This window comes from Homo sapiens, chromosome 22 (assembly GCF_000001405.40).
Source record: "Homo sapiens chromosome 22, GRCh38.p14 Primary Assembly".
NCBI lineage: Eukaryota > Metazoa > Chordata > Mammalia > Primates > Hominidae > Homo > Homo sapiens.
Genome location: NC_000022.11, coordinates 35,532,124 through 35,554,350, shown reverse-complemented (window position 1 = coordinate 35,554,350; position 22,227 = coordinate 35,532,124). Strand labels below are relative to the sequence as shown.

At 54.1% G+C, this 22,227-nt stretch overlaps 1 protein-coding gene across 6 annotated transcripts, besides 6 other annotated features; it reads right to left on the bottom strand.

Annotated features, from left to right (window-relative positions):
* Positions 1 to 351: 351 nt before the first annotated feature.
* Positions 352 to 21,545, bottom strand: RASD2 (RASD family member 2). 6 transcript variants are annotated; one of them, XM_011530040.3, is made up of 4 exons: positions 12,006 to 12,844; positions 11,731 to 11,918; positions 7,271 to 7,550; positions 352 to 2,848 (listed from the first exon to the last, which is right to left on the bottom strand). In XM_011530040.3, the coding sequence occupies exons 3-4, from the start codon at positions 7,539 to 7,541 to the stop codon at positions 2,319 to 2,321; spliced, it is 801 nt and encodes a 266-aa protein (XP_011528342.1). In that variant the 5' UTR covers positions 7,542 to 7,550; positions 11,731 to 11,918; positions 12,006 to 12,844; the 3' UTR covers positions 352 to 2,318. The 6 variants fall into 6 exon arrangements, with proteins under 6 accessions (XP_011528342.1, NP_001363444.1, NP_001363445.1 ...); NM_001376515.1 differs by lacking the exons at positions 11,731 to 11,918; positions 12,006 to 12,844 and adding an exon at positions 20,924 to 21,545; NM_001376516.1 differs by lacking the exons at positions 11,731 to 11,918; positions 12,006 to 12,844 and adding an exon at positions 14,359 to 14,451.
* Positions 1,082 to 2,061: an enhancer, noted in NCBI's record as "H3K27ac-H3K4me1 hESC enhancer chr22:35948337-35949316 (GRCh37/hg19 assembly coordinates)". NCBI's record gives its function as "activates a minimal SCP1, AML or CMV promoter by ChIP-STARR-seq in primed H9 embryonic stem cells {active_cell/tissue: H9 hESC(primed)}" and the evidence as "EXISTENCE:reporter gene assay evidence [ECO:0000049][PMID:30033119]".
* Positions 4,598 to 5,308: an enhancer, noted in NCBI's record as "H3K4me1 hESC enhancer chr22:35945090-35945800 (GRCh37/hg19 assembly coordinates)". NCBI's record gives its function as "activates a minimal SCP1, AML or CMV promoter by ChIP-STARR-seq in naive H9 embryonic stem cells {active_cell/tissue: H9 hESC(naive)}" and the evidence as "EXISTENCE:reporter gene assay evidence [ECO:0000049][PMID:30033119]".
* Positions 13,170 to 13,732: an enhancer, noted in NCBI's record as "H3K4me1 hESC enhancer chr22:35936666-35937228 (GRCh37/hg19 assembly coordinates)". NCBI's record gives its function as "activates a minimal SCP1, AML or CMV promoter by ChIP-STARR-seq in naive H9 embryonic stem cells {active_cell/tissue: H9 hESC(naive)}" and the evidence as "EXISTENCE:reporter gene assay evidence [ECO:0000049][PMID:30033119]".
* Positions 13,733 to 14,295: an enhancer, noted in NCBI's record as "H3K4me1 hESC enhancer chr22:35936103-35936665 (GRCh37/hg19 assembly coordinates)". NCBI's record gives its function as "activates a minimal SCP1, AML or CMV promoter by ChIP-STARR-seq in naive H9 embryonic stem cells {active_cell/tissue: H9 hESC(naive)}" and the evidence as "EXISTENCE:reporter gene assay evidence [ECO:0000049][PMID:30033119]".
* Positions 13,829 to 14,048: a silencer, noted in NCBI's record as "silent region_13657". NCBI's record gives its function as "represses an Ori minimal core promoter by ATAC-STARR-seq in GM12878 lymphoblastoid cells {active_cell/tissue: GM12878}" and the evidence as "EXISTENCE:reporter gene assay evidence [ECO:0000049][PMID:35858748]".
* Positions 14,296 to 14,858: an enhancer, noted in NCBI's record as "H3K4me1 hESC enhancer chr22:35935540-35936102 (GRCh37/hg19 assembly coordinates)". NCBI's record gives its function as "activates a minimal SCP1, AML or CMV promoter by ChIP-STARR-seq in naive H9 embryonic stem cells {active_cell/tissue: H9 hESC(naive)}" and the evidence as "EXISTENCE:reporter gene assay evidence [ECO:0000049][PMID:30033119]".
* Positions 21,546 to 22,227: the final 682 nt, after the last annotated feature.

Genomic DNA, 22,227 nt, shown 5'->3' with positions numbered 1-22,227 from the left:
CCAACTGTCCCCTGCGGGTGAAATTGCTGCTGTACAGGAATCACAAAGAACTCAGACACGGAGATCCTCCTGGAGCTAATGGTCCACGGGGGCCCCTTCTTTGTGGACACAGACACCTCGGTACACACACCCGGAGGACCCAGGAGGGCCAGGCTGAAGGAGGGCATCACCTTCCATCTGGGGGACTTATCCCCCTCTCCCCACACTTACACTTGAAGGTGGACTCAGTGCTGACCCTCAGGGCCAGGGCACACGGCAGGTGCATTTTGGGAGGGAAAGGCCAGCTTTGGTCTGGAAAGGGGCACACCTCCTCTTGGAAATACAAAAAATACACATGGGCAAGGACACGGCTTTGTAACAAACCCACTTTTATTGATAGTGTACACGGAGATCCATGGTGGCGGGGCTGTGCCTGGGTGAGAGCGGGCCACACACCGGTGCAGCCAAGGTACCTGGTCTGCTCAGAAGGCTCAGGCAGTGGGTGGGGAAGGGGACAGAGGCAGGGTTGGAGCTGCTGCTTTGAGCACAGACGCAGGCAGGGGCCAAGGCTGGGGTGCAGGTGCAGGTATGCAGAGCTGGGGCTGGAGCATGTGTACATCTGTGTGTACATCTGTGTGTACTTGTATATACATGGGCATGGTGTACACAATATCTACAGGGACCCTCACAGACTGATCTAGGGAGAGGGTTGAGGACAAGATGTCCCAAAGCCCTGAAGGCCCCAGGGGCCAAGCATCAAGAGAGGGAGCACATCGTGGTATGTACTGAATGCCCAGCGCTAGCTTGCTTCTGCCACCCACAGACTTGCTGTGTGACCTGGAGGAAGTTACTTACCCTCTCTGAACCTCAGAAAGACCCAATAGAAGATCACTAAGGTTCCTTAGGGCCCTAAAACTTCAATATGTTTAGAGAGATTAAAATACAAAATATACTTGTTAAGAGCTGATGACAAGGGCCTTTGGTTTATGGGTTCAAAACCCACCATGCCTGAGTACATGGTGGTACCCAGCATAGCCCAATCCCGGGCACAAGGAGAAGACCCGCCCTGAGCTTTTCTGTCGGATCCCTCCCAGGCTCAGTTCTGGGTCCCAGCTGCTCCTCCCCGCCTCCCCACCGCTGTGTGTGCAGAAGGTGGTGGGGCAGCAGGGGCGGGCAGAGGCCAGGACTGGGGACCCTCTTGGTTTCCTAGGACACAGTGAACCCAGCACCCAGTAGGTGCTTAATAAATGCTTGAGGAACGAGCACAGTAGAGGGCAGCCTGGTTCTAGGTGGAGCTGTACCCTGAATTTGCTAGGGGACAAAGGTGGGGCCTGGTGCTCATCGTGTCCCCTCCGAGTCTCGGTGGTATCCTCTGTGAAATGGGAGCATTAAAAAAAAGCAGTCCTGGCCTGCCCACCCCACGCTTGTGCAATTGTCTGTAAACCGTGGAGCTCAATGGCGGAGGTCAATGTCTAGCTGCAAACAGGCCACGGAAACCCTGTTTGGGAGCAGAGGAGGAAGGCGTCCCGGGTGGAGGCCGTGGATCTGAACTGGGTGAGGGCCTGGCCAAGGAGGGAGTCACTAGGCTTTTACAGTACAATGATTTCCATTTCTACTACTATACATGACACGAAAACAGCTGCAACCACAACAAAGCACAACTGTCGGGCGGAGGGACCTAGGAGAGGAGGCTGAGGAACGCGGTCAGGAGGTGGGCGTGGTCTAAGTGGTGGGCGTGGTCTAGGAGGTGTGGCCACGCCCCCTTCAGACACAGAGTCCACTGGCTCAATGTCAGGCGCAGCTGGGGGCCAACTTGTGTGTGTGCTGGGGGTGGGAGGGGGTGCAGAGGCAGCTGAACCAGAGCGTAAGAGTTGCAGGGCTGGGAGAGAAGTTCTCCCAGCTGCCACCCAAACCAAGCTGGGTGTTATGCCAGGAGAGAGGAGACCTTTCTCATCTGGCCTTCTGTGTCCTTTTCATCCTGAGGCTTGTCCCAGGAGGCTCCATATGACGCAGCAATCCTCACCCCTCTGGCATCAACATTTCTTCCAACCCCAGGAGAGGAAGGTGTAACTTGAGTCTCTGCCTAACTCTTGAGGCTGCAGAGATGTGTCCTCCCACAGAGGAGATGAAACCACCAAGGAGCTGTGGACAAGCGGACTCAGGAAAGCTGTGAGAAGGCAGACGAATGTGCGGAGGCCAGCGCCCGGGGGCCTCCAGTCTGGTGCCTAAGGTCTGTGAACAAGACTGCTGCCGGGGCCTCGGTGGGGAGATGCGCACAGTGGGCATCTGGGGCCACCTCCCTGAAGGCACTGGCCAAGCCCCGCCCCAGCATCCCTCGCTCACTGGATGGTGCACTTGTCCCTCTCACGGGCCTGGCCTTCCCGAAGGACCTTGGCCTTGATGTACTTGAGGTCACTGTTGACGCTGGGGCGGCGGGCGAAGGGCGAGACCATGCCATAGGCGTCCATCTCCTTGACGCGGCGCATGCAGAAGGGCCTGGGGTGGAAGGCGTCACCGTACTGCACGGAGATCTTGCGATGCAGGGCGGGGCTCATCTCGTGTGGCAGCTTGGCCATGCTGAAGAGCACGTAGAACATCTCGTCCACGTTGGTGTTCTTCTTGGCCGACACCTCGAAGTAGGCGCAGTTCTCGTCGCCCGACACCAGCAGCTCGGCCTCGGTGGTGGGCACCTGGCGGCACAGCTCGCCGTGGTCGTTCTTGTTGCCACAGATGACCATGGGCAGCTCCGCCGCCTCCTTGGTCTTGTTCTTCAGGCAGGACTTGACCTCCAGGATCTGCTTCTGAAGGCGCTTGACCTCATCGAAGGACTCCCGGTTATCCAGGCTGAACACCAGGATGAAGACATCCCCTGCAGGGAGAGAGCCCAGGTAGTGAGTTCACCGGCCAGCTGCAACCCCTGCCCTCCTCTGGCCACAGAACATCAGCCCTAAGAGCTGGGAGTCACAGGTGCCCTGAAGCAGTTATGCGGCATAACTGCTTTAACCTACACAGCGACTCTTCGGGGTAGCTGCGATTATTCTCCCTGCGATTATTTTCCAGGACAGGAAACTGAGGCTGAGGGGGTTGAAGCCCCTGTTCACAGTCGCATAGCTAACACGTGGACCACTTGGTTCAAATACAGTTAACTCACTTCACATTTCTTTGCAGGGCTGGAGAGGGGTAGGTCACTTGTGTGGACTGTGTTCAGATAATAATAAAAATCATTTCTATGAGAGCAGGGGTCCTGCCTGTCTTGCTCAATGCCTAGTTTGCATCTGGCCTCATCCGCTTAGCTGCCAGCAGACTTGGGCAGATCACGAAACCTCTGTAACCTCAGTTTCTCTGTCTGTTTCATGAAGATGAAATATTACCTTGCAGGATGATTTTGGGAGTTATGCAAGATAATGAATGGACAGTGGCACATGCTCAGTGACCTCAGGTGTCAGTAATGATGAGAGTGAGGGCCTACTGGGGGCTAAGCACTGGGTGTATGCTCCAGGCCCGTTGTTCTCTTGATTCCTCACTATGCCTCTGTCAAGATTTTGTTACCTTTGCATTACAGGTGAGCAAACTGAGGCTCAGAAAGGGTATGCAGCCTGCCCAAGATCACACAGCTTCCGTGTGGCTAGGCTGAGATTTCTACCTGATTCTGTTCTCACCTAGCTCGTGCCTGGCACCCGGTAGGTGCTCTCTGCTTCTCAAATAAATCATAGGATGAAAAAGTGAGTGCTGGCCTCCAAGGCCCACACTGCCTCCAGGATAACTCACTGCATCACTCAAGGCAGGCTTGTGAATCTGAAACAGGGGCTGCTGTGGAGACGGTGGGGTGGTGGGGAGGCTGTCTGGACTGGTACCTCCATCCTGATTTCCAGCTTTTAATAAGCACCTTCCTCACTTTTGCTTAAACTTTTTTTTTTTTTTTTTTTTTTTTGAGATGGAGTCTTTCTCTGTGGCCCAGGCTGGAGTGCAGTGGTGTGATCTTGGCTCACTGCAACTTCCACCTCCTGGGTTTAAGCGATTCTCCTGCCTCAGCCTCTGGAGCAGCTGGGATTACAGGCGCCTGTCACCATGCCTAGCTATTTTTTATTTATTTATTTATTTATTTTCTGAGACAGAGTTTCACTCTTGTTGCCCAGCCTGGAATGCAATGGCAAGATCTCAGCTCACTGCAACCTCCACCTCCTGGGTTCAAGAGATTCTCCTGCCTCAGCCTCCCGAGTAACTGGGATTACAGGTGCCCATCACCACACCTGGCTAATTTTTTGTATTTTTTAGTAGAGACGGTGTTTCACTGTGTTAGCCAGGCTGGTCTTGAACTCCTGACCTCAAGAGATCTGCCCACCTCGGCCTCCCAAAGAGCTGGGATTACAGGCATGAGCCACTGCGTCCAACCACTTTTGCTCAAACTCTTGATAGCCTTGTGGTGTGACAAGATCCCTGTCTCACAGATGAGGAAACTGAGGCCCAGAGGAATCAGCAATTGGCCCAAATTCTTGAGAAGAGAAGCAACCAGTTCCAGCTTCTGGCAGAATGGCTGCCACCTTCCTCTGCACCCCCAGAGCACATCATTTACCCCCATTTAATGGCACATGGCACATTCAGAATGGTGTCCAGATCAAAGGTGTGCTCCAAACAGCTCGGGCACAGAGAAGGGTTCCATCACCCACTCGTCCTGGTCTCCCCAGGGCCTGGCACACAGTCAGTGTTAACCAAGGAAGCCTGAATGGATGGGAGGTGATGGAGGGAACTGCAGTGTGGGCTCTTCTGAAAGGCACTTGCGAGGCAGCGTCAGCTTGGCAACTCTTCCTGCTTGGGCTGCCAAACCCCATCCCGTTAGGCTAATCCGGGGCCCCTGAGGACTCGTGGCCTTGACATATTCAAATGCGAGACTGCGATGCCAAGCATCAGAGATCGGCCCGTCTGGCAGCTGGAAGAAGAGCTGGCAGTGGAATTAATGGCTTTCAGAATTTCCTGAGCAGCAGGAAAATGAGGTTGAAAAAATGAGGTTCCACCAGGTTGGAAAATGAGGCACGGGTTGGTGTGTGAAAAAAAAACAAGCATCAGACAGCTGTGCTCAGAATGATATGCGCCATAAAAAAGAGACAGACAAAAATACTCTCCATTGTGGGGATACAAATACGAATGCCGGTGTAGTCACGGAGGCCCGGAAGGCTCCATGCCAGACTGCCAGGGTGGCCACCTCCGGGGCAGGGGCAGGAGCCTGGGATTGGGGACATGGGTCAAAGGGGCATTAGCTTTATCTGTAGCGTTTGCAGGAGGGTGTGTTTGGGTATTACTTGTGTCACTGAAAATTAATGCTGAAAATATGCATGTGCTTCCTCTCTACATCTCCCCTCTCCTTCCCTCTGTCATTAGCCTTATTCATTGCAGCGGGTACCCAGTCCCCTCCCCAAGGCTGGGGGAGCTGACACCAATGCAATACCCGTCACGTGCTGGAAGCTCCCGCCACAAGCCTTCTTGCAGTCCTCACAGCCTCCCTGCGGGGTATGAGGTTAAGCCCACTGTGTGGCTGGGGAGGCTGAGACTCAGACAGGATGCATGTGCCTCTGGTCACACATTTAAGCCAAGAGGCCCAGCAAGGATTCGAACACAGGTCGACCCAGGGCTCTCCTATCTACATGCCCCTTCTCCAAAACTCGGGGTGGAGCGGAGAACTTGACTGCTGTCTGGGTCAGATGCTCGGAAAAGCCAGCCTGGAAGAGAAAGCACTCAAGGAGGGGCCACCCCGCAGCCTCAGTCTTGGCCTCAAGGCGGCAGCAGGGCTGGGAGTGGCATGGGTTTCTCTGTATAGAAGTACCTCAGTTGGGGGGTTATCTGAATGATGCCTAGAGAGTTGCCTGCTCACTCCTTCCCTTATCCCTGCTCAGCAACTTCAGGGGCGTGACTTGGGAAATGATCGTGTAACCCGTAGCAGGCCCACTTGCAAATGCTGACTCAACAGAAGACTTGGGGATTTATTGTGCATTTACTATCTGCTCACCAAGCGCCTTACATATATTCATTCATTTAAGTCTCACAGTCCCTTTAGGATGAGTGTTGATGTGGTGCAGTCTTACAGATGAGAGTGCTGAGACACAAGGAGATAAAATCCCTTGCCTCGAGGTACAAAGCCAGGAAGCAGCGGAACCAGGGCTCACACCCAGGTGCTGGGTCCCGGGCTTGTCCTCTTAGCTACCATGCTAATGCAGTGTAAACAAGGGCACAGCCCCTCAGCTCCACTCACCCCTTCTTCCCCCCAACCTCCCTGTCCCTCCTCACCCTTCCCAGCAGGGCTGAGAGGCTGTGGTATGGCTTTGTCTGAAAGCACAAAAGCAGACTGCCTTTACGAGCTGTGCTACCACTGGAGTGAGTTACTTAACCTCTCTGGGCTTCAGTTTCCCCACTTGTAAAAAGGGAATGAATAACTATTTACTATGAGGGTTAAATAACTACATGCTGGCTGGCCGCGGTGGCTGACGCCTGTAATCTCAGCACTTTGGGAGGCTGAGGTAGGCAGATCACGAGGTCAGGAGATCGAGACCATCCTGGCTAACATGGTGAAATCCCGTCTCTAGTAAAAATACAAAAAATTAGCCGGGCATGGTGGCACATGCCTGTAGTCCCAGCTACTTGGGGGACTGAGGCAGGAGAATCGCTTGAACCCGGGAGGCAGAGGTTGCAGTGAGCCGAGATCGCGCCACTGCACTCCAGCCTGGGTGACAGAGCGAGACTCTGTTTCAAAAAAAACTACATGCCAAGCTCTAAGAACAGGGCCAGGCCCATAGCTTCTGATAAGTGTCAGCTAGTGCCATCACCATCACTATGACCATGACCAAGCCCCCTTCCCTTTGGTGATCACTGCCTGGGTCCTGCCCTTACCTCTCTAGGAGGTGGCAAAGGCCTGGGGTGTGGGAGACCTGAGCCCCGTGGACTGACCTTGGGCCCTGGAGCTCTGGTGGGTCATCTTCCGGAGAAGGAAAGCAGCAGCCAGGGCATCATTCTGTTCCCTAGAAAGGAATATCCCTGGGGCATGCTGGTATCAGCTCCTGATCTGGAAGGCGGCCCCGACAGCCATGAGTAATCGATCTGGAGTCTAACAGAATGGAATCGGGGCCCCCGACTTCATCACTATTTCCAGCACATGGCAAAACCTCTCTGAGCCTCATTGTGCAGGGATGACGCCTGTCTCAGACGATGGCTATGCAAGTCTATGCAAACTGCCAAGTGCCCAGCACACTCCGCACCCATGCCCTGGCCCTGCCGCCCCAGCCCAGGCACCAGTGGGCCTCACCTGTGAGGATGGACAGCCTGCGCATGGCGGGGAAGGGGTGGTTGCCAGAGGTATCCAGGATGTCGAGCTGGTACATGTCGCCGCGGATGTTGTATACCTTACGGTGGAAGTCCTCGATGGTGGGTGTGTACTGGTCCTCAAAGCGGCCATTGAGGAAGCGAGACACGATGGAGCTCTTGCCCACCCGAGAGGCACCCAGCACCACCATGCGGTATGAGTTTTTGGCGGGCACACTGAGCGTGCAGTTCCCGCTGGACAAAGTCTTCATCATGGCTCGGGGCTGCAACAAAGCGAGAGAAGCAGGCATCAGGGCCCCCCCGACCTGGCCCCACCACCTCTTGGCCTCCTCTAGGCCTCTGTCTAGGACTCAGTTTTCTGTCTGTAAAATGGGAACATCAGACGAGGTTCTAAGGGGTCTTGGAGTTCTACCCTCTCATTCATTCATGCCCTCTCCTTTACTCCTTCCTTCATCCACTCACTCACTCAATATCCGTTCATTCATCCTTTCATTTATGCAAGCACCGGACTCCTGGGATTTGAATCCTTGCCTTGCCTCTAGCTACTGATCTTGGGCTAGTAGCTTAACCTCTCTAGAAGTCACTTTTCTCATCTGCAAAATGAGCCCAATTCATAGAGTTGTTGCAAAGGGCTCAGCACATGGTGAAATCTCAAAAATGGTATCTATGGTGAGAATCCGTTCTTTCCCTGGTTCATCCATCTGGCTTTCCCGGAGCCTGTGATTCTAGGATAAGACATGGGGAAGGCACTAGCATGCATTTCTTAAGCCTGGGGCAGGGGGTGGTTCTGTGGCCATTCAGCCCTCCTGGGAAGAAGGGAAGGCTATGTCCACACCGCATGCTCCAAGCCCAATGCCTGGGGTTGCTCCTGCAGCCACCTCAGGAGGACCCACCTTTAGACCTGTGCTCTGCATCTGGCGGGCTCCCTCCGCTCCATGACCTGCCCGGATATTTTTGCCTCCCAGGCCCTAGGTGTTTACTTGCCTCCAGGAGACCCAGAGGCCCGGAGTAGAGGATGTGGAATGGGGAACGACCCATGGCTGGCTCAAGCTTCCCTCCCAACTCCAAGGGTTATGGTTCTGGGGCAAACCCAGAGCTTTCTATGGGAGCCTCTTGACCTCATGAAAGAGGCCGACATGGATCCAAGCTCTTGTATAAGCAAACCCGCAGGCTCCACCAGGCTCACCCCAAAGGCTCTTCACAGCCCAGCCCTCCCTCCTTTCCTACCTTAGCGCCCACCAGAATCCCCGCCCCAGAACCCCTGACCCCAGTCACCCTCGTCAGTTTGAGCTCTGCTGAGATCAGCCTCCACTCCTTTGCTCATGCCACCCCTCTGCAGAACACCCTCTTCCCCTTATGTTTCAGGGTCTGGCTCAAGTGCCACCTGCTCTCTGAAGGCCTCTCTGATCTCCTCACCCTTGCAGGAATCCCTCCCCTCTCCAGAGGAGAGCTTTCCAGCCCCTGAACTGCAAATGGGCACAGGCCTGCTGAAATATCAATCCCCTAGGTCTTCCACAGGCTGCCACAGGTTGTGCAGGTTGGATACTGCACAAGGCGCATGGCTGGGTGGGCAAGTGGGGGCTGCATCCCAGAGGTGGGGGCTGTATCCCAGACGAAAGGGCATCTTGTGTAGAGGAAAAGGCACTGTTTTTAAATTCACACAAAGGGCTGTATGTGCCCAAACTCGGTCCCCACCCCAGGATGCCCCAAGTCGGTTTCCTTGAGTGCCTCGCCCATTGACCCAAGGCGCTTTCCAACACCATCGCTTCCTGGCTATCATGAAGCTAAGGTCTGAGATGGCCACTGGAGGTGGAGAGATTGCCTGCGTGCGAGTCCCTGGCACACATCTGGATCTGCTCACCCTGCCCAACTACCAGCCTCTGTGCAGGAAACCGGCTCTCAAAAATACCTTTGTTAAAAGCCCTATTGCCAATTTCCATGGCGTAAATGCTCCCACTACGGTCACTTCTAAGCTACTAATGTGACTTCGATGAATGAATCACAAAGGGACGTGCACAATAAGCCAGCTCAGCACACGGCGGACCCCAGGCCTGGAGCCACAAGGACGACAACTGCTGCCACTTGAGCCCATGCAGTGTGCCAAGCCCCGCACTAAGTATAGAAATAATCATAGCTGGCATTCATTTTGCAGCTAAAATATGCCAGAGTGTTCTAAGTGCTGCACACATGTTAACCTATTTCTCCCTTCATAACCCCAGAAAGCAGGTGGTGTTATTCTCCAATTTACAGATGAGGAAACTGAGGCACAGAGAGGTTAAATTACTTGCTTACAGTTGCACAGCCAGTAACCAGCAGAGGAGAGGTTTGATCCCAGGTGGTCTGCCCCGAGCTCAGAAGGCTACGTGACTAGCTACTTGGTTAACAAAGGAGGCTGGGTAGTAGTTCAAGCCTAAGACCCCCACATCCCCCACCCAGCTCCCACCTAAAGCTGTCTTTGAATTTATCCCACAAAACTGCCATGCCATGAACAGAGCAGGGGCTCAATAAAGGGTCTGTGCATTCATCAAATGGCAAAGGGCTCTGTCTTTGGGTTTGCCTGAAGCCCCACTCTGGGACCTTCTCTCCTCAGCCTCAACCACCTGACTGGCCCAGGGGCTGTGCCAAGGAGGGCCCTCCCCTAGGGCAGCCCTGATGAGGTGCCCAGGGCATACGTGTGGGAGGCAGGAAATGAGAGAGAGGAGGGTGGAGAGGGGGCTGCCAGACCACAGCAGGGAGCCCTTCTCAGTCTCTGCCGGGGCTGTCTCAGCCAGCCTGGGCCTTCAGCAGAGATGGGGGGAAAGAAGCCCTACCCCATGACAGCCCCCTCCCCAAGTCCTTCTGCAGACAGCTTGACTCTGCTGGCGGTCACTTCTGTCTAAACAGGATGGGAAAGGGGCCAGAAGCTCCCAGGGACAGTATTTGTCTCCATCATTGCCCTGCCCAGCCTCCAGCCTAGAGCTTGGTACAGACGAGTTGATAGCAATGACTGAATGAGCTTCAGGGAGTCAGAGAGAGGAGGCAGGGAGTCAAAGACGCAGAGAATCGGAGAGAGGAGGCAGGGAGTCAAAGAGAGGAGGCAGAGGGTCAAAGAGGCAGGGAATCAGAGAGAGGAGGCAGGGAGTCAGAGAGAGGAGGCAGAGAGTCAGAGAGAGGAGGCAGTGAGACAGAGAGGGGAGGCAGGGAGTCAGACAGAGGAGGCAGGGAGACAGAGAGAGGAGGCAGGGAGTCAGAGAGGAGGCAAAGAGTCAGAGAGAGGAGGCAAGGTGACAGATAGAGGAGGCAAGGAGTCAGAAATAAGAGACAGGGAATCAGGGTGGGGAAAAAGAGAAAAAAAATCCTCTGTGGTTTTTATCTCTGAGAGAAGACTGATTCTTCACATGGCCTGAGCCACGTGGGGCTGTGTGAGACATCTGGACACCTGGACGCCAGGGGACAGTGCCTCTGTGGGCTCCGCCTCCTGCCTCCACATCTTTCTTCCCTCTCTTCCCCCAGAGGTGGCACCATGGGCACCCTCGTAGGCACATCTCTCCTCTGCAGCCTGTTCTCCCTTCTCCATCCTCAGCCAGGCTGACCTCATACAGCGAGGAGCAGACAGGGATGAGTTTGAAGAGCCCTTTGGGAATTTAGAGTCCAATATCAGTGACTGAATGGATTTCAGGAAGTCAGAGAGAGGAGGCAGGGAATCAGAGAGGGGAAGTAAGGAATCAGAGAGAGGAGGCTCAGAGAGGCAGGAAATTCAACGGAGACCCCCTAGCGGCACAGGTATCTGAATGCACATACTGTGACTACTGACCCCATCACAGGGCCATTCTGAGGACAGGTGGAAGCCAGAAAGTTCCCAGAGCAGAGATGAGGGGACGCCATCCTGGGGGCACAGTAACCACAGCCAGGAAGGCATCCATCAGCCCACTTGACTGATGGGGACACTGATGCTCAGAGAGGTTAAGTCACTTGCCCCAGTTCACACAGCAGATGACTAGCTGGGCTGGGATCAGAACCAGGCTGTTTGGCTTCAAAGTCTGGGCTCTTAACTCTATGAAAACCCACCCCCAGCCAAAACTGGTCTTTTCCAAAACACTGTCTGTCTCAGTGAAGCCTCAGCTGGCATCAGGCGGGGGGATGACGCCGAGACATACTATATTCTCACTCCCTCTCTCCCTGCAGGCAGCGGAGCGGAAAGGGGGCAGGCACCTCCCAGGATTCTCCCCTAACCCTGCCAGCCACCTCTGAGCAAGTGCACCTGTGGATTCACCACTTCTCCCTTGAGCCTCTCTCCCAGGGCCTGCCTGAAAGATGAAGGGGTCACACGGGCACAGGCAGCAGGACAAGAGTCTGGACGTGTCCTCCCGGTGTATGCCCCAGAGCCTGTTTCACTGCACTGCCCCTCCTCCACACCCCCATGCCTCCTCCATCAGTGCACACTCAGCCTCTTTGGACACGCACATTGCCATCACTGGCTTCCAGCTGCCACTCTGAGAGTCCGGGAGCTTGGCAAAGCCAACCCCACCACCCTTGGCAGCTCAGGTGGTAGAAGGTAGGCAGGCATCCACTTCTGGCAGGCCAACTCTGCCTCTCACCAGCCCGGCAGCCCTGGGCAAATGACTTGGCTTCCTGGGGCTCAGGTTATTCCTCTGTTAATGGTAAGACATAAACCCCCTGTGTGGCCCTGGGTTTCCAATAAGTCTGGAGGCTGACCCAGCTCTTGACCCGCAGCAAACCTGAACACATGCTGGGTTCTTTTCTTCGTGGCACTTTATCTTGGCAGTCGTGGGGCTGCCTAGAGCAGCCTGGTGAGGCTGGACTGGAATGCAGGCGCAGGTCTTGCAGGGACCCCATCTTGTCTCTGACACCACAGGAGGCTTGATTCACTGGCTCCTGACCTGGCTGCTCCCTCCCAGCCTGGCTTCCCACCTTCCATGAGGTCTTGGACAACATCCCCTGTCATCCTCCTGGTGCTGGGGACAAGGGGAGGGGAGGGCACAGAGAGGCCTCCAGAGCTGCCTTCCGGGCCCTCCAAGACAGCTAAGTTACAGGAAACCCCTCCTGGGAAGGGAATCATCCAGGAAACTCACTCTGCACCAACCCAGAAAAAGCTCAAGAACTCTGGATAACGAAGGAGCTTCTTAATCTTCCTTCCCCACCTCCAGGTAATGCAGGCTGCAGCCAGCTCCAGAAGAGGGACAGGAGTGTTTGTGGTAGTTGACTCGTCTTCCCTGAGCCCCCGTTTCCTCCTATTTAAATGGGCTATTACTCTAGCTCTTTAAATGCAAAGCCTGTGGCACCAAAACTAGCACATAGTAGAAGCTCAATAAATCTTTCTTTCCTGGGATTAAGTCAAGGGTATAGCACTCAGTTTGACACATACAGTAGGTGCTCAACGAATTTAATTCTCTCTAGGTATGCAAAGTTGCCAGACGATCCCGGCACATAGTAGGTGCTCAATCAATTTCACTTTCTCTGGTCATCTAAGGAATCACTGAGCTTTCCTCCTCCAAGCCTCTACCCTTTCTTCCCGGCTGCTCCACTTCCCCCAGATGCCCAGCTCTGTTGGGGCGTCTCCTACCTGGGAATGGCGGGCCGGGCCTCTGGCACGGCTCAGAGAGCTGCCTGGAAGCGCCGGGAGCTGCGGGGAGCTGCCTGCTGCTCCAGCCGCCGAGCCTCCCAGAGTCTGTGGTGGCTCCCGGGTCACTGCGCGGGGATCCTCCCCTGCGCTGCTCGGGACGCCGGGCTGGGCGCGGCCGGGCAAGGAGGCGCAAGGGGCAGGTGCCCCATGGGTGGGCTCCGAGGGCTCGGCGGGGCCCGGGCAGGGGGCGGGCTCCGGCTCGCCGCCGCCGGCCCTGCCCTGCCCCGAGCCGGGGGCCTCCTGCTGAGCCAGGTGCCCGGAGGCTTGGGGACGTCCGATCCGGGGGTCCCCGCCTGGGGCTCTCGGGCTGGGGGCAGAGAGGTAGGGGCGACTCCAGTGATGAAGGAGCAGCTCCTAGAGACTTGGGGAGGGGGGGTCCTTTGGAGGTGACTGTGGGTGCGTGTCCCAGGTGGGCGAACCCTCCTGGTCGCCTATGCCACCTTCTCCGCCTGCCCCAAAGGGGGTCGCTCGGATGGGGGGTATCGGGCTGCCGGGCTCGGCCGCGGCCTCCTTCTCTGCCCGCGGCTCTGCAGCTCTCCCAGCGCCGGAGGGACGGCTTCTTTCTCCCCGCGCGGCGACGCCAGCAGCTGAAGGAGGAGCAGGGCGCTCTGCTCTGCGCGCGTGTGGGAGGGGGCCTTGAACGCCGCCCCAAGGTTTCGCAGCTCCAAGTTAGCATCAACCCGGCTCCTCCTCCTTCACCTCCTCCTGTCCCCAGATGAGGAGAACTTTGTGTGTGGCCCTGGGTTCTCCCTCCTTCCCCCTCTCGCAGGCAGATGCCCCACTGTCACCCGCAGGGCGAAGAGGTCGCTGATCCCTCCGAAAGGTGGCAGAACCCCAGGCTCCTGATGACGGTCCCAGCGGCACCCTCCCGCGCCCCTGCGAGCGTCGCCCACCTGCTCCTTCGGCCCCCCGCGAGCCGCGCCTCCCGCCGCCCAGCGCCAGCGTCTGCCCCCCAGAGCCCGCTCGCCCCGCCCCACCCCGGCGCCCCGCCTCGCCCCGGCGCCCGGCCAATGGGAGGCGGGTCCCGCGGCCCGGCCCCGCCCATCCCTTTCGCGGCCTCCGGGGCGCCGCGGTCTGCGGTTCCGCGTGTCCGGGCGCGTGGGGCCGGGGCCGCTGGGCGCGCGCACCTTGCCCAGAAGGCGGCCCGGGCCTCGGAGGCTGACGTCTGCGCACGCGCTCACACGCACGCCCGGCCTGGCCGCAGGTGACCCGCATGGGGTCCGGCCGCCTGCCCACTCGGCCGGGGTCTCCAGCGGCTTGCGCCCGGCCAGGTCGAGCGCGCCACGGTTCCAGCGCCCTCCTCCTTCGCGGAAGTCCCCGGGTGCCCTCCCAGGTGTCCAACCTGCCTGTCCCAGCCGCCGCCTCCCTCCCGAGCTCACGGTGCCCACGGGACCCTGCGGACTGGCACATGGGCCATGCACGTGTCGCCCAGAGGGGCGGGGAGTCACCTAGGCTTAGTAGCCAGAGGTCTTCGAGGCATGCGAGTCTCAGAGACCACGGCCGACGGGGACACACCAGGTGCCTTGAGCATTGCGTCTCCTGCCTGCATTCTCCCTCCCCACCTTTAAATGAGGGGCTTGACCTAGGCCAGACATCGGGCCTTCTCACTGGGCCATATCTCCACACCACTTATTACTTAATATATTTTTTAAAATATCAGATCCACTTTCCCCACCCCTTAAACACGTTTTTTTAGAGAATCATTATATCACTGCCTTAAATGGGAAATCAGTATCACTTGCCATAAATAGAAAGTAAGAGTTAAAATAAGCACAGTGAAAACAAAGCAAGGTTATTAAATTCCAGCTGGAAACCGTGGCCTGCCAAGGCTTGAGATGTGTGCCCTCAGTGAAAAAGGGAGATTGGCAAGGTTTGGAGAGGTGTTAAATACCCATTAGCACCTAACAGAGACTTTCTCCTTCACATATCAGGAGGCTTAAAAGAGAATGTTCTCGTTGTGTGATACAGCAAAGGGATGGGATGCTGTGTCTGTGTCCCTCAGTTCCAGATCCCTGGACCTCAGGGATGTCTGCCAGCCTCACCCCCAACCCAGATCTGGCCTCCCTACCTCATGAGAGGACGCAGGGGTCTGGGAGGGCACCTGAGGGGTCAGCTCCATTGGCTGAGAGACTGGCGTTCAAGTCCTGTCTCCGTAACTACCTAGATATCTGACCCTGGGCCGTCATGAAAAGTCTCTGGGTCCTGGTTGTGCCATCTCTAAAATGGGTATGATATTGATGGGTCCACAGAATGACAGAAGTACTAAAATGGCCTGGGACTTTGAATATGGAAAGTGACTTGCTTTGCTTGTCTCTGTAACATCTTGAGATTCTCCAGGAAAGTTAACCAGAGAGGATGGGGCAGGTGGGGGTGGAGGGTGCAGTACCTGTACTACCTGATTGTGTTTAATGCCCCAATTTAGGCCACAGAGGGGCTAAGGGGATGTGCCCAAAGTCACCTGGTGGCAAGTGGCAGGATTGCAGCCTGGTGCATTTTCCACATCCAGACTTTGCCTCTGGGAACTGGCTTCAGCCCGGGAGGGTTTGTGCTGGGCATGACACACACAGGCTGTGAGCCTTGAGCTGGCAGTGAACTTGGCAGTGGGAGGTGAGCAGGGTGGCACGCTTCACCTGGAAGGCTGGGGTCAGGAAGACTCAGGTCGCTGGGCCAGCTCTGCCACCTCCATCACGGAAATGTAGCAGACGGCCCAAGAACCAATTGCTCCCTGCTTCTGCAGAGTTGTTCAACAGAATGGGTCATGTCCCACTGACCATATCCCAGTCGCGAGGGGAGCTGCATGTGGAGTGAGAACCCTGGGAGGTCCACTTGCCCCAGCCTCTGTCTTCTGCTCCTGCCCTCCCCCACTCCTGGTATGGTAGGGCTCAGTCAATAAGCAAATACACATAAGGGATCAACTGATGCCCAAGGAAGCTTTGTGTAGCAACAGCACACTTCTCACATGTGCCTATTTTCCCCTTCCCCCCTCCCCACCCACTTGCTTTATCATCCCTCATCAGACCCTTTGTCATAGCTGCCCCCTTCGTCCCTGGGCTCCCTGTCACCCTCTCTCTCCCATATAACCTGTGACCATTTTAGCCCTGTTCTAAAACTGCCACCTCCTGCTCAAGAGTTTTCAAGGGCTCCCCATTGCTTAAGATATAAAATCTTGGGCTGGGTGTGGTGGCTCACGCCTATAATCCCAGCACTTTGGGAGGCCAAGATGGGAGGATCACTTGAGGCCAATAGTTTGAGACCAGCCTGGCCAACATAGCAAAACCCTACTACTAAAAATATAAAATATAATAATTTTATACTAAAAATATAAAAACTACCCAGGCGTGGTGGTGTGCGCCTATAATTCCAGCTACTCGGGAGGCTGGGACATGAGAATTGCTTGTATCCAGGAGGCAGAGGTTGCAGTGAGCCGAGATCGTGTCACTGTGCTCTAGCCTGGGCGACGGAGCAAGACTCTGTCTCAAAAAAAAAAAAAAGATATAAAGTCTAAAAATCTAAATTCCTTATCCTAGCGAACAAGGCCTCCAACCAGGACGTGATTCCCACCATGCCCTGCACTCAACCTCCATTCCAGCAAAATCAAATCACTTCCGGGTCTCTAAAGAAGAGAAGCTATCCCTCCTCTGAGCTTGTGTATGCTGGTTTCTTATCAGGGATACCCTTTTCTCTGTATTTACCCATCAAACTCCTACACATTCTTCAAAGCACTGTGTCCACACTTCTCCCCACAAAACTTACTCCCAGCCTTTCTAATGGTGTGAATCTCCTCCTCTGGGCTCCCACAGCACCAAAGCCTGGCTCTTGTGCTGTGGGTAACTGGTCCTCTCTTTAAGCCTCAGTTTCTTGGCCTGTAAAAGTGGGTGTTACAATAGTAGCTGCCTCGTGGAGTTGTTGGGAGGATTAAAATAAACTGCGAAGTGCTTCACACATAATGGCCTTCACCATGATTACTTCCTCCGTAGCCGGTGTTACTTCCTGCTTCATATTTTGGACACATGCCTCGTCACCCCCATTAGCATGTGAGCTCTTTTGAGTGGGGACCGAGCCTGATTCATCCTTTTATTCTCACATCATTAAGGGCAGCATCTCACACATTATAAGTTTTTAATAAATGCTTATTGAATTGTGTTCAGCCAAACAGTCTCAGAGCAGAAGAAACGTACAAGCTCTCCTTGGACACAGGGAAGGGTGGACAGACACAGTGAAGCAGAGTTTCACTTAGTCCTCCTAACAGCCCCACTTACAGAAGGGGAAACTGAGGTTCAGGGAGACTGTTCAAAACCAGGCAGCTAATGAGAGGCTGAGCTGGGGTCCAAGAGAAATTATTCCAATAGGAAAAAAAGCACACGTCAGGCTGCTTTTCTAGAACAGCAGTTCCTAATGCTGGCGGCGCATTAGAATCACCTAGGGGAGCTTTTAAAAGATACCAAAACCCAGGCTCCCCACTCAGAGATGCTGATTTAATTGCTCTGGAGTTGGGTTTCATCACCATACGGTTTAAAGCTCCCCTAAGTAATTCTAATGTGCACCCAGGGTTGCTAGAGCAGTAATTCTCAAAGTGTGGTCCCTGGACCAGCAGCATCAGCATCATCTGGGACTTGGAAATGCAGAATCTCAGGCCTCACTCTAAGCCGGTGAACCTGAAGCTTTGGGAGTGAGGCCAGGCCACCTGGTTTTAACCAGCCCTCCTGGTGATTCTGATGCAAGCCAAAGTTTGAGAAGCACTGGCCAGAAGATTGAAGTTGGCGATACCATAGAGGTCATGTGGCCCAGCCTTCCTGTTTTGTAGACAAAGAGATGGGGCTGGGCATGGTGGCTCACGCCTGTAATCCCAGCACTTTGGGAGGCCGAGGCAGGCAGATCGCAAGGTCATGAGATCGAGACCACCCTGGCTAACGGGGTGAAACCCTGTCTCTACTAAAAATAGAAAAAATTAGCTGGGCATAATGGCAGGCGCCTGTAGTCCCAGCTACTCGGGAGGCTGAGGCAGCAGAATGGCATGAACCCTGGAGGCGGAGCTTGCAGTGAGCCAAGATTGCGCCACTGCCCTCTAGCCTGGGCGACAGAGTGAGACTCTGTCTCAAAAAAAAAAAAAAAAAGAGACGGTTTGTGGCTTGACCAAGTTCAACACATGCTCATGACAGGCTCATTCTTTCCTGCTGAATGCACCATCCCAGACTACACAGCCTCTAACTGAGTCTCTTGCCTTGGCAGGCCTGGGCATCTGTGCCAGCCTTGAACTTCATCAGAGGTCAATGGGTCACCAGCTGCATAAGCTCAGCTGGACTGGGGCACTGGGTCAGGTGCCAGTCAGTACAGAGGGCAGATAGCCGGAACAGGCTGGCACCTCATCTGGCATTCAAGGCCTCACCAAACATCCCTGAAGGCAGACTGGCAATGACATGGGAGGAGGGGTGCCCCACCAGGCCAAAGATCAACAGGAGCACAGCTGAACCAGCCACACCCTGCCCCCGGTGCATCTGACCATTTCTGCCTCTTGCTGCCCCTCCCCCCACCCACTGAGCCCGATGATCCAAGCAAGCCCCAATTCAGTCAGGAGCCTGGGTTCTAATCCCAACTAAACAGAAGTTTGCTGTGTGACCCTTGAATGGGCCACTTAACGTCTCTGACCCTCATTGCCCGGCATTCTTCCTCCCCTCCTTTATGCTCCAGCCAAAGACACTGACTTGTAGTTCCCTGAGCTTGCCAGGCTCTCTGTACCCTAGGTCTTTGCACATGCTGGAGCCTGTGCCTGAGGGGCTGCTCATCTCTGGATTGCCAGCAGGCTCCTAGCTTTCCTTCTGGAATCAAGCATCACTGCCTCTGGGAAGTCTTGGTTGCTCTCTCTTCTGTGCTCCATGGAGCTGCCTTACAGAAATCTTTTGCTTTTGGATTCAACCCTCACTGTCTGAACTCTTGCTACTCATATCTGAAACTTGGGGTTCCAATAGATTTGGATAATGCATCATCTTTTACTCTCTGAACTTGCTATGTAAACTCTTTTTTTTTTCTTTTTTTTTTGGAGACAGGGTCTTGCTCTGTAGTTCACACTGGAGTGCAGTGTTGTGATCATGGCTCACTACAGCCTCAACCTGCTGGGCTCAAGCGATCCTCCCACCTCAGGCTCCTAAATACCTAGGATTACAGGCATGCACCATCACACCCGGCTAATTTTTAAATTTTTTGTAGAGACAGGGTCTTGCTATGTTGCCCAGGCTGGTCTCAAACTCCTGGGCTCAAGCGAGCTTCCTGCCTCTGCCTCCCAATGTGTTGAAATTACAGGTGTGAGCCACTGCATCTGGCCAGAGCTTCCTATATAAACTCTTGATGTCCAGAATCAATATCCAAATAGGTTTGAAAAGCATGTAATAATCTGTCATGGGGTCCTCGCCCTCTTGAGAGGAGAGGTGGTACTTGTCAATCAGTGGGCAGTAAAAGTTGGATGAATGAATAAATAGTGGTCAGTTTCTTCCTCTGTCCAACAAGAATGTTGGGTGCTCTCTGAGACCCATCCGAGTCTACATTTCCAAGCTGGTTTAATCCCACCACGGGTGATTCAGGTGCCTTCCAGCCCATGTGTTGTTTTTATGCAAATAAAAGAAAGGTTCCTTTCCCAGGCAGAGGCAGCCGTCTTTAAAGCTCTCAGCTTTGAGGGAAAGCTCTCAGTTTTGAAAGGAAAGGCACAAGCTATTTCCTCAGCTGAGTGCCCTTGCACAGTAAGCAACCTACACAACCATACAGGGCAGCCCTTTGTGACCTCATCTAGTCCTTGAGAATGCACCACAGAATATTTTTGCAGGGAACTATGATGACTGTGATCAACCAGGTTGGGCCAAGCTGAGTGGGCAGCCAGGAGAGAAAGAGCTGGAGTGGACCAGAGGCTTGCAATCACAATGAAGACCATTTATGGAGCCCCCACTCTTTGCAGGCACTGGGTGGATCCCTGTAATTACATGGACCCATTTTAGCCAGACCACAACCCTACGTGGAGAAGCATTATTAGAGTCATTTGTAGATGAGAAAACTGAGGCTGACAACACCTGAGCAAGGAAATAACAGAGCTTGAACTAAGTCTGACTGATAGCAACAGCTGCCTGGGCTAGGATCTGCTCTCGGATACAGCAGCAGTAACCACAGCTGCCTGTGTGTATGAAAATGCTTGTGATCCCCATGGAGGCTACCTGTGAAGCATGCAGGGCAGGGTTCTTGTTTCGGTTTTACAGGTGGCAGAACTGACACTCAGAGATATTCCACAACTTGCCCAAAGTCACTTGACTAGTTAGAGGCAGAGCCTGGACTTAAAGATATCTGGGTGTTTGAACAACTATCCTTTGATCTTTTTTTATGATGCCCTGTTGTCTTCTTAAGGCTTGGACTGCATCCCTCTTTCTAATGTCATCATCACCATCATTACCATCACTATCACCATCATCCTCATCATCACCATTGCCTTCATCACCATAATCATCACCGTCATCATCACCATCATCATCACCATCATCACCATCATCACTCTCATCATCATCCCCGTCATCACCATCATCATCATCACCATCACCATCATCACTGTGATCATCATCCCCATCATCACCATCATCATCATCACCATCATCACAATCATCACTGTCATCATCCCCATCATCGCTATCGTCATCATCACCACCATCACTGTCATCATCTTCCCCATCATCACTATCATCATCATCACCATCACCATCATCACCATCATCACTGTCATCATCATCCCCATCATCACCATCATCATCATCACTGTCATCATCACCATCATCACCATCATTCCCATCATCACCATCATCATCATTATCACCATTATCATCACCACCCTTACCACCATCACCACCATCATCATCATCACCATCACCACCATCATCACTATCATTATTACCATCATCACCACCATCATCACCATCACCGTCAGCGTCATCATCATAGCCACCATCATTGTTGTCATCATCATCATCTCTCAAGCCTATGGACCTTTTGCTCCTTTTTAGGTGTTTATTGAGTCCCTTGGCCTGGGCCCAGTGTGGTCCAAATGGAGACACAAAGGCAACACAACTTCCTTCAGCTTTCTCCCTTCAGACAGGATTTGACAGGTGTCTCCTCCATCCTCTATCACATTTGATCCTTCCAACAGCCCTGGGAAACACGCAGAGCAAACTATTATGTGGGAGAGAAGCTGAAGCAGCAAAGGTTCCATGGCAATGGAGGAACAATAGGCCTTCTAGCCTAACATTTACCAACTGCTCTCCTTATGCCAGGCTCCAGCTGGAGAGGCAGGCCCTGTTCTCAGTCTGCTACAAAGTTAACTCATTTGGCTTTCTGAGCAACCATATGAGGAGTGTCTTATTATCCCCATTTTCCAGACAAGGAGACTGAGGCTCAGACAGGTGAAGTAACTGGGCAAAGTCAGTCAGCAATAATTGATGGAGCTGGGATTCTTAGTCTGTTTTTTGGACTCTGGAGTCAGTGCTCTCTCTGCTACAGGAACCACCTCCCATGCAGCTCCCTGGTGCTAACACCTCCTGTTTCTGACCTGGAATCTTCTGTGGGTCCCTTTAACTGGAGGGCACCGAAGAACCTGGGAATTAGCACGACCCTCCGGATTCTGGCAGCAGCTGAGCTGCTGGCCTGACACCTGTTGTCTACAGAGCAGGCACCTGTAAGTCCTCAGTCTAAGAGACACTGGGAGACCAGGCTCCCAGAGGCTTAGCCGAACTCTGTGTGACTTGGTAGCTCAGCCCCAGGTTCCACCTCCATTTCTGGTGTTACTACCTGGAAGCAATGGGACAGAGGTGCCTTTGCCCTTGCCTCTTTCTCGGACACCTTATCCCGCTCCCCATCACCATCGTCCACTCCTTCATTTACCCCTGAGTGCCAGGTGTAGTCGAAAGGACACAAGCTTGGCCACCACACAGACCCAGGTTCAAATCCTGACTCTGCCTCTCACCTTATCTTGGCCTTGGACAAGCTAGTTCTCTCTGAGCCTCAATTGCTCCATCTTTCAAAACGGGCTGTTGTGAGGAGTCATTCACTCCATCATTCAGTCATTCAACAAATACTTACAGAACACTGGGCCGGGAGCCAAGCAGTACTTCGGGGGGTGTGGCACTACCCCAGAGAAACTTTCAGTCCAGCAGAGAAAGCAGAGAACCTAAGGTCTGAGGGATGCATTTGAGTTAACCTGACTAAGAGACAGGGAGAGTGCATCAAGCAATGGGGACAGTACATACAAAGACCTGGAAGAGAAAGAGCAGCGTGTTTGAAAACACTAAAATAGA